The sequence below is a fragment of the Homo sapiens genome, chromosome 22 (assembly GCF_000001405.40).
Source record: "Homo sapiens chromosome 22, GRCh38.p14 Primary Assembly".
NCBI lineage: Eukaryota > Metazoa > Chordata > Mammalia > Primates > Hominidae > Homo > Homo sapiens.
In genome coordinates, this window is record NC_000022.11 from 25870974 (window position 1) to 25882183 (window position 11210).

Here is an 11210-nt window from a genome sequence, read left to right on the forward strand (position 1 = left end):
TCAGATAATAAAATATGACTATTATTGAATAATACTTGGTATTGACTGAGAAACTGTCAAAAGCAAATCAAGGTCAATGTGTCCTTTTGGAGGCCAGGCTGGGGGATACTGAGACCTTTAAGGGCAGATGCAGCATCTTACGCATTGCAGGATTGGCATGTAATAATGGAGAAGGCTATGAAGCTCAGGGGACAAGAGAATCGGCTGACCCAGTCCACACCCAGGCTCCACCACTTCCTAACTGTGTGAATCTTCAGTGACTGGTTTAACTTCCCTGAGCCTCAGTTATCTGTAAAATGGGGCCATTACTTTCTACCTCCCAAGATGGCTGTGGGGATCCATAAAGTGTCATTTAACAGGGGGTGGCTGTCACTACTTGCTGAATACATTTGTCAGTGAGGCAAGAGGCTTATCAAGCAGGATAACATTTTAATGTTTAAAGAATTAAACTCCTCTAATCTGTAAAGTGACTAAGAGGAGAGGAGCTAATTCCTTGGCGGTACCAGATATGGAAGCTGTTTCCATATCAGATTTTTTTAAAACCTGGGCCTTCAGCATTGTTAGAGGAAAAACAGTTTGCGTGGTTTTGTCCCCCGTGGATTCCTTAAAAGTGGGGCTTTGGGGATGTTACACTCTGTTTGCATCCGATAAGCTGCTGGACCCATGAAAAGCAAATAATTTAGATTTTTCTTCGTGATTTTTCAGCCTCTGGCGCCTTATCAAGGCTTGTGCTGAGGGCCATGGCATTTGTGGGAAAGGTGTGATTCCACGTGCAGTCGGCCTTCTGGTCGGCAATATGCTCTTAAAAGGCAAAAAAAACAAAAAACAAAAAACAAAAAACCAGAGAGAAATTGAGATAAGATTCTGCAAAGGCTTATTCCCATTCTGTGTATGGTTGTTTCCAATTATCTTTTTAATGAAAGCTTCATAATCAATAGTGGTTTTGGCAGCACCCGCCATCTATTGTAATATACGATCTGGTGCTGTCATAACTTTGATCATTGATTTTTTTTTTATAGCAGCTTTTGGGACTCACTAGCTTGTGAAATTAATACAGTCATTATTGAAGCAATCTGATAGGTAATGAGCCAATTGTGTCTTTATTTCAATGAGACTAATGGTCTTGGTGGCCCTGTCTGATAGGAAGTGTTCTGCAAAGCCATGGAGGGTTAGGAAACAGAGTTAGTACCAACTGGGCATGCTAATTTTTATTTTCCCATTGAGAAAAGGCATAGTGCAGGATGGTCGGAGATGAGTGGTCTCCATTACGAAAAATAGGGTTTAGGGTAATGGAGAATCGATCGAGACCCTTTGTTCCACCTGGAATCAAATTGCAGTTGAACCTCGCACTTCAAGTGCTTGTATCATAATGGATAAGAAAAGGCAGCTTCATGTTGACGGACATTGAGAATGGGTGCAGGAAATAAACCTGAAGTTCTGGGCTCAGGTCTCAGCTTTGTTGGCAACTGATTCTGCAAACTTGAGTCAATTTCATAACCTGCCTGAGCCAGTACATTCCTCATAGAGCTGTTTGAGTATTAAAAAGAGACCTAGGAGAAAGCACTTTGGAAAATGTAGATGCATGTAATGTTCATGCTATTCAGTGATAATTGTACCCTTGTCTGAAGTCAGATAGAGGAAAATAAATCCTGGTGTTGCCACTTGCTTGTAAAGGATCGTGGGCCAATGCCTTTTTTTTTTAAGCCTTAGTTTTTTCCTCCATAAAATGTGAGAATCATCGTAACTACCATATAGGATTAGACATGTAAAGTGTTTTCCCTGCATGTCGAGTGGTTGTTTAGTCCAGTTCCAAAACACAGTAAGTGCCCCCTAAATGTTATCCATTAATTGATAATGTCATCAATGAATACAGAGTTATCCAGTGTCTCCAGATAACCGCCTCTGGGATTATAAACCACATGTGACAAAGAAACACATGGGACTCTTTTTAGAAATAAGCAGCATAAGGGCATCAGAAAAATGACTTCTTCCCCTGTCACTGACTGAAATCCCACCATAAGAGCATTTTTCCTCTGCCTCTGGGAAGTTGAGAAAATGACCAAAGCAAACCAGAGCTACCCTTGCGCATTGGCAGGAGCAGGCCTGGCCCAGAAGCTTCAGGTTCTCGCAGAAAAGCATTTAACTCAAACCTCCAGGACTCTCTGCCTTAATCTTTTGCTGACAGTCAGTCCTGGGGTCCTAGCTTCCCTCATTCCTGTTCCCTGCAGTCTACTAGAAGGTGGCTTTGTGGGGTGCCGAGGAGGCATTGATCAGAGTGCTGCAGAGGCCATCATCCATTATTGATGAGTTACGGTCTGGAAATCGTGTACCGAGAGCTGTTTTCTGCTAGATCCCTCAGCACCTCTGTGGGTGGCACCAGCCCAGCCCCATCCTCTCCAGACCAAGAGGACTGCCATCCCTTCCCCCACTGTCTCTGCCCCTCCTTACAAGGCTGGACTGAGGTGTTTCTTTTTTCTTTCCTTTCTTTTTTTTGAGATGGAGTTTTGTCTGGGCTGGAGTGCAATGGCACTATCTTGGCTCACCACAACTTCTGCCTCCCGGGTTCAAGCGATTCTCCTGCCTCAGCCTCCCGAGTAGCTGGGATTACAGGCATTCGCCACCACGCTTGGCTAATTTTGTATTTTTAGTAGAGACGGAGTTTCTCCGTGTTGGTCAGGCTGGTCTCGAACTCCTGACCTCAGGTGATCCGCCCACCTCAGCCTCCCAAAGTGCTGGGATTACAGGCATGAGCCACCACGCCCGGCTGGAGTGAGTTGTTTCTAAGCCACTGCTTCACTCAGATTGCTGTGGGTGCTTACCCAAAATATTCACATTCCCAGGCCTGGCCCTAAACCCACAACCCAGCCTTTCCTGGGGCCTGGGAATCTGCATGTACTGCACTTTCCAGGTGGTGACCGTGCACAGAACAGTTTAGGCAAGTCCATGCTAGCTGTGCTTCTCAAAGGAACGTGCACAGGAATCCCCGGGGGATTGTGTTAAAGTGCAGGTTCTGATTTAGCAGGTCTGGAATGGAGTGCGAGATTTTGCATTTCCAACAAGCACCCAGGTGGTGCCAATGCCACTGGTGCGTGGGCCACACTGAGTATCCAGGGCCTAGGGGAAGGGAGAGAGGAGCCATCAGCAGACAAAATGCTTTGATAATTTAGACTCCCCCACCTCCCACTTAAAGGGCAACTGCCAACAAATATTGCAGGTGGGTGCAAGAGAAGTGGGGTCTGATTTGCAAGCACCCCCCCATTGTAGACAGCCTTCTTCAGCAGAGGACTCACCTGAAACCTTCCCTCTCCCCAGGTTTTTCTCAAGGCAGGTGTGATCTCCAGGCTTGAGAAGCAGCGAGAGAAGCTGGTATCTCAGAGCATCGTTCTCTTCCAGGCGGCTTGCAAGGGCTTTCTGTCTCGCCAGGAATTCAAGAAGCTGAAGGTACTGCATGCCGTTCCCATGAGGAGTCTGATCCAACGGGTCTGGAGCGGGCATAGGGTCTGCCTGTCTTTCAGGATGATACCGGTGCACCGGGTCCAAGGATCCAACCTGAGCAGTGAGACTTTAAGTGAGGCTTTGCAAGATGTTATGACTGTTTCTGGGACATTGACATCAAATTATCCATGAGGTCGGCCTTGCGCTAGGTAGCCATGAGGTTGTCCAAGCCCTCCTGGGCTGATTCATGACTTCAACCTGTCTTGTTTCTGGAGAAATTCACTTTCACAGGTCAGCAGACAGGGCATGACCAGGGCCCAGCCACTGAGGTTTTGGGGACCAAAGGCCAAGTCAAGCTTGAAGCACTGACCCATTTAGGGTCACCATCTTCAGAGATCTCTGGAGACTGAATTTCCTCTCTGTAGCTGCACAATAGAGAGAAAACCACGTGGCTCTGGGAACAAGTATTATATATGTTCGAATTCCACCTCTACCTCTTAGTAGCTGGGTGAAGGTGAGATGAAATGATGTGCACTTAATACAGTACATGGCACATAGTAATTGCTCAATAAACTCTAGCTGCTATTACCTTAGAATTGTTATTCTTAATTACTGCTACTACTAGAATGGAGTCTTGTTGTATGTGCCTCCAGTTTATGTGAACTTGTAAACTCAAGTATATGTACTTGGCAGAAAGAGAAAAATGATGAGACCGTGAATAATGAACATATTGTGGGCAACCCCACTGGCCTTCTGTGCTCATGTAGCTCATACCTTGGAATGATGTGGAATAGAGTTTCAGACCCTGGGCTCTGCAGCCAGACTGCAAGGGTTCAAGCCTGCTCTGGCACTGAGAAGCTGGGTGACACTGGGCATGTGACTTTACCTCTCTGAACCTCACTTTCCCCATCCGTAAATACATAAAATAACATGATCTTCCTAGGACTATACTGAAGACCAAGTTGAGGTGTGTGAGATGCTCAGGGCAGTGCCTAGCACTTACGAGCCTCAATGTCTGCTGCACAAGAATCAGCTGCTGTGATGGTGATGAGGGAAAAGCATCTCTTGGCCTGTCTGCCAGTCAGTGCTGTTCTGGTCCCCCCCCCAGTGATAAGAATGAAGCGGGTCAATGCTTCTCAAACTGTGGTCCCAGACCAGCAGCATCAGCATCACCTGGGGATTTGTTAGAAATGCACATTTGCAGGCTCCATCCCAGAGTGGCTGAATCAGCACCTTTGGGGGTGGTGTCTAGCCATCTGGGGTTTAACAAGCCCTCCAGGGGATTCTGATGCACATTCAAGTTTGAGAAGCATGAAATTACTGTTTAAATACACTGTGAAAATGATCTCCCTTCAATATAAGCTAATAACATAATCGTGGACATTGTTATTTGTGGGCAGTTTTAGAGATTTTTCAGTGGCAGTTTTTGCCTTGCATGATGACCTTTAAACCTAATCCTCATGTAAGATGTAACCTATTGTATAGTTTCTTTTACTCTTTCTCCTATTATTATTTGGCCATGCAAGACTAAATTATGGCATAATGTTTGATGCAGAGAGCCTGACATATCAAAAAGACTACAAGAAAGGAAGCCCGTGTGTGTGTGTGTGTGTGTGTGTGTGTGTGTGTGTGTGTGTATGTGTTTTAAGGTATCCAGTCCCTTCCACCGGGAAATAACCCCACTTCCTCCAGCCCCTTTGCTACCCTCTGCCTCCTCTCCTTCCTTTATCCTCACCTGGGTTGGAAAGGACCCTCCAGTCTGTGTTCTCCTTCCCTGCAGATTCGCCGACTGGCTGCACAGTGCATCCAGAAGAATGTGGCTGTGTTCCTCGCAGTCAAGGACTGGCCATGGTGGCAGCTGCTTGGTTCCCTCCAGCCTCTACTTAGTGCCACCATTGGAACTGAGCAGCTCCGAGCCAAGGAGGTCAGTCTATGTGGCAGGCAGGGTGCTGGGTGGCTACTCCCCACACCCTGCTCCTCCTGTTTGCATCTAGCACCCTGTGCCCCTATTCCTGAATGTTCTTGATCTAGGAATGCTCAGCCCAACAGCCTTGATGCCCCTTCCAGATGTTCCTCTGCCTCCAACAACACAGACAATCCTCCATCCCATGCCCAGCTCCTCTCTAGGCTGTGGGTGTTTAGAGATGCTATTACCACCCTGGGGGTTCATGAACACTCACTACTTAACCCAGAGAAGCTCAATGGGCAGAGTCTTTGAGTCCTTTATTTATTTATTTATTTATTTATTTATTTTACCTCTCAGACAACACTCTTTTTCTTTCATTCTTCCCTGTCACCACCTATCTTTTATAACTGTTTCAATTGGTTTCTGGTTCATGCTTTTTGTTGTTATTATTTTGCAAAAATTAGTAACTATACACACATATTTAGTTCTTATATTTCTTACATAAAAAGTAGAATACTACATATACTCTTCTTCGACTTGTATTTTCTACTTAAAATGTATTCTGAAAATCTTGCCGTTTCCATTCTTGTGGAGCTCCTCCTTGTTCTGTCTTTATGGCTGCATAGCCCTCCTTTGTGTGTCTGCTCCTTAGTTCATTCCACCCGCCTGCTGTGGGTGGGCGGTGAAGCAGCTTCTGAATGGTGCTGTCATAGGCACAGTGCTGAGCCACTGGCAGAAAGGCAATCCCTGGAGGATGAAGTGCTGAGCACCGTGTCCATACTTGTGTATACCCAGTCTCAGGCAAAGCAAGGGACTCATTCTGATGATTTGTGTTCAGCCCCTAGACTGGGCAGGGCTGGAACAGACTTGCATGAACAGAGACATTGAAATTTGGAAGTGGTGAAACAAAAAGTCTCTTGTTGGAACCTAGCACCTGGGTATCTTCATGGATGCTGGCTGAATTACTCACTCCATTCCCCAACCGCTCTTTAAAAAAAAAAATTCATCTTTAATTTACAAAGAGTAATCGTACATATTTATGGGGTATAATGTGATGTTTTGATATATGTTTACAATATGAAATGATTAAGCAAAGCTAATTAACAAATCCATCACTTCATTTATCATTTTTTTTGTGGTGAAAGCACTTAAAATCTACTTTTTGTTTTTGAGATGGAGTCTCGCTCTTGTTGCCCAGGCTGGAGTGCAGTGGTGCTATCTCGGCTCACTGCATCCTCCATCTCCGGGGTTCAAGTGATTCTCCTGCCTCAAGCCTCCCAAGTAGCTGGGATCTCAGGCATGCACCACCAAGCCTAGCTAATTTTGTATTTTTAGTAGAGATGGGGTTTCTCCATGTTGGTCAGGCTGGTCTCGAACTCCTGACCTCAGGTGATCCGCCCGCCTCAGCCTCCCAAAGTGCTGGGATTACAGGTGTGAGCCACTGTGCCCAGCCAAAACCTACTTTTTACAAGCAATTTTGAAATATACAGTGCACCATTATTTGTTATAGTCACCATTCTGTGCAATAGATTGCTAAGGTTTATTCCTCCTAACGGAAACTTTGTGCCGTTTGCTCACTCCTAACACAGGTGGAACTTAATCTCTGGCCTGGAATGGTTTCTGTTCATGTGTTTGTTTTTGTAGGAGGAGCTTACAACGCTAAGACGGAAGCTAGAAAAATCAGAGAAGTTGCGGAATGAACTCCGGCAGAACACAGATCTGCTAGAAAGCAAGGTATCCCCATCCCTCCTCTTGGGTCCTTGTGGGGGGTCTTTATGTATGTGAGATCTGTTTAATGGGGAGAACAATGATATGCCTGAAAGCATGCTAATTGCTTTACAAGCACCCCAGAATTACCTGTGAGGCACATGCTGTTATTGAACCCATTTTACAGTGGAGGAAATTGAGGCCCTGGGATATTAAGTATCTTCCTCGAGGCTGCACAACCGGCAAGTGTAACTGAGATTCAAACCCATGTCACCTGGTTCCAAAGGGGAGAATTTCTTAAATAAGTCACAAAAGCACAAATCATAGGGAAAAATGATAAATTTGACTATATTAAAATAATGAACTTTTGTTTATCAGGGCATAAAATGAAGATGTATATTACTTACTTGGAATAGAAATTTGCAAACTGGAAAAGAGTATCCAGAACATGTAAAGAGCTTTCTCAAATCAAATGGAAGAAGGCAAACACTCCAATAAGAACGGAAAAACAAATATGAGCCAATAATATGAATGGGCAGTTCCCAAGGAAGGGACGCTTGTTTCAAGAGTTTAAGTGTTCAAAAATTCAAATGGCCAATAAACTCATGAAAAGACACTCAACCTAATTAGCAATTAGGAAGTGCAAATTAACACCTTAATAGGTACTGTTTCACACATCAGATTGGAAAAATTGAAGAGTGTGATGTAGCCAAGTGTTGGCAAGGTTGTGTGGCAGTGGGAATTCTTATTTACTGCTGCTGGGATCATAAATTGATCTCATCACTCTTGAACAATTTGGCATTATCTGTGAAAGTTGAACCTGTCCATGCCCTGTGGCTGGCCATTCCACCTCTAGGTATTTATGCTAGAGAATCTTATCCACGAATATATGAAAATACAAGAAGTTCATAGCAACAGCCTTTGTCCTGTTGAAGGAATGTAAACACAGGAAAGTAAACATTCAAATGGGAGCTTATTAACAGAACAGTAGGTGAATATGTTTTGTGATATTAAAAACGAGCTCCCAAGAGTGAAAATGAATGAAGAGACAGGGAAAACTGTGGCTCACAGGCTAAATTCAGTGCACCACCTGCTTTTTGTAAATAAAGTTTTATTGGAACACAGCCACGCTCATTCCTTTATGTGTAGTCTATGACTGCTTTCATGTTACAATGGCAGGGCTGAGTAGTTGCAACCTGAAACTACTCAGCCTTGCCATGTGGCCTGCGAAAGCTAAAACATTTACTCTCTGGATCTTTACAGAAATAGTTTCCTGATCCTTAAACTAGAAAATGTGTATCAACATGCATGTATTGCTCTTGCAAACATAATGCCAAAGGAAAATAATTCAGTTACAGAAGAGTACTTGATTAGGGGTATATCCTTGTATACTTATGGTGTCATTATATTTATGGGAATCATAACACCAAATTCAGAGTAGGGGTTACCTGGGGTACGGTCATGTGACTGGAGAAGGTTATGTTGGTTGAATGTGTGACCGTATTCCCTATGCCTTCTCTCTTTGATTTCATGGGCTGGGGTGACTTCATGGGCATGGGTATTGATTTCATGGGCTGGGGGTGACTACATGAATCAGACAGTTCCCACTCCAAGAAGGTCACTGCAAATTACAGATAGACTTCTAGACAAAGTCATATGCTGTGCTAGTCCATTCTTGCACTGCTCTAAAGAAATACCTGAACTGGGTAATTTATAAAGAAAAGAGGTTTGATTCGCTCAGGGTTCCACAGGCTGTACAGGAAGCATGGCTGGGGAGCCCTTAGGAAACTTACATCATGGTGGATTGTTAAGGGGAAGCAGGCACATCCTACATGGCTGGAGCAGGAGGAAGAGTGAGAAGGGGGAGGTGCTATACACTTTTAAACAACCAGATCTTGTGGGAACGCACTCACTATCACTAGAACAGCAAGGGGGAAATCTGTCCCCATGATCCAGTCATCTCCCACCAGGCCCTTCCTCCAACACTAGGGATTACAATTTGATATGAGGTTTGGTCAGGGACATAGGACCAAATCATATCATATGCTATTATGTTGCATGTGGTCAGCAAGCCACGGCTAGACCAAAGAGGAGCTTTTCGACGAAAACCTGCTGTTCTATGTAGACTTTCAGGACTGGGGAAAGGGAGGCACTTGACTAGGGAATAAAATGTAAGGGGTCACCAAAACACTCAGCAAAGTAAATAATATTTTAAAATTGTAAAGTAATGCAAAAAATAATCCCTGATGAACAAAACATCAAAATTTTAAGTAAATGCAAAATTTGTAGGCCAAGATTAGGGTGAGGCAAGTAAACATTCTAAACAGTGTGAACCAATCTTTATATAAAATGTTGATATTTTCTTTATCGTGGATTTTTTGACTAATTGAGATTTTTAAAATATTGAATTAAAATCTTATTTATCTTGATTTCTGAGAGTTTTTTTTTGACACCTCCTTACATGTTGCACCCTAGGTAAGTGTTTTACATGCTTCATTCTAGTCTCAGCTCTGTTTGTCCATGAAGCTCTGGGTACCTCCAAGGATTCTGTTAAAGACCAAATGAAACCCATTTTTTCACCCACTCAACAAATGTATATGAACATCTCCCATGTGTTAGACATTTGACTGGACACCTTGATAGAGCTAGGAAGGAGGGAAAGTCCCTGTCCTTACACAAGGTCTCCAGGCCGATAGAGGGAGACAGACCACAAGCAAGCTTGTCACACATGAAGTGCTACGGATATGAAGCAGAAGGAGGTGACAGTGATGGAGGTTAAGCATGGGCTCTATTTGCCTAAGTGGTCAAGGAAGAATTCCATGGAAGGGGATGTTGGACTCTAGATCTGAATGATTTGCTGTAATCTATATGCAGATCTGGTGGAAAGAGTAGATATGGCAGGTGCCGAGGTCCTGGGACAATGTGAGATAATATTTGTCAGTCCAGGACAAAATTTAAAGATTTCTACACCCGAGAGCACCTGGTGTTATTACTTGCTTATAATGTTGTTTGGCTTGGTTAATGGACAATGGTAACTGTAAATGGATTTATGATTAAGCCAACAGAACCTACTCTTCTTCCCATGTTGATAACCCAAGTTGAGCCTGAGATGGCTCATGTGGGGATGTGGAATGAAGTTTGAGAGGAGGCCATCTCTTTTCTGCTTCTTCTCATCTTCCCTGTAAGATTGTGTCCATTCTCCCCACATTAAAGTGTCAACCGTGGAGTTGGCCACGGAGAAGGCAGAAGCCTTGCTCCTTGCAGGAAGGACCACATCCACACAAGAGTTAAGAGAGGCTGGGCTGAGATACACCTTGAGCCTATGCTCCTCCTATGCAAAAGACTGTAAGGGGGAGAAGAAATGACACACACGTGCCTGATGTCTCATTCATGTCTTGCGAGAGCAAGCTGTCTGACCTCTCTTGCTGGCAGCAACAATGAGTAGAACAGCAGAAGTGAAAAATTGGAGAGCTGTGGGCTGGTTGGGAATATCAGGGACTTCCCTGTAGAAATTCCTTCCCACCGAGCTGACATTTGAAGCAGTCATTAATCACGAACTGTCAGGTTGGATTTGCCATGCATCGGCTGTTGGGGGAGATGTGCGGGGATGAGATGAACATCTTCAGCATCCAGAGCTGCAGTTTACAGGACACTTGGAGAAGGAAGGGTGGGGGCTCAGGCTTCTGCACCCTGAACCAAGCAAACAAATGCCAACACCTACAGAATATTCTACTCAGCCTCTTTAACTCTTTGCTTATATCATGGTTACAACAAGATGTATGGGGCCTTGAAAAATTAAGATAAAATTTAAAAGTGAAGAAAGCCAGAGCAAAGGGAAATAAGAGTTGATGAGTGTATGGAAGCCAGGGGAAGAGGTAGAAAATGGAAATCTACCTTTGGCCTTGGATGCCCTCTCACTTCATAGCCTTCACATGTGCTGTTCACTCTGCCTGAAACACTCCCTTCATCCTCTTCACCTGGTTAATACCTCTTCATCCCTTGTCACTCATTTTAGGTGGCACTTCCTCTAAGAAGCCCTCTTCAACACTCTAAGGGTGGGTTAGGGCCCTACTCTGTGCTACCACTAGCCTTGTTGTTTCCCCTCACAGGATTAATTGACTCTTTCCTAGTGACCTCCTTTATCTGTGTCCCAGCTAGACTG

General features: G+C 44.3%; 1 protein-coding gene across 14 annotated transcripts in view, besides 1 other annotated feature; it reads left to right on the forward strand.

Moving 5' to 3' along the window:
* The window catches only part of MYO18B (myosin XVIIIB), a 321660-nt gene that overhangs the window by 128786 nt on the left and 181664 nt on the right, over positions 1-11210 (forward strand). For all 14 annotated transcript variants that reach the window (XM_011530461.3, XM_011530458.3, XM_017029014.2 and 11 more), the window contains 3 exons: positions 3313-3441; positions 5216-5359; positions 6986-7075. In XM_011530461.3, the coding sequence (XP_011528763.1) occupies positions 3313-3441; positions 5216-5359; positions 6986-7075 (363 nt within the window). The remainder of the gene's footprint in view (positions 1-3312; positions 3442-5215; positions 5360-6985; positions 7076-11210) is intronic.
* Positions 9652-9831: an enhancer, noted in NCBI's record as "active region_18790". NCBI's record gives its function as "activates an Ori minimal core promoter by ATAC-STARR-seq in GM12878 lymphoblastoid cells {active_cell/tissue: GM12878}" and the evidence as "EXISTENCE:reporter gene assay evidence [ECO:0000049][PMID:35858748]".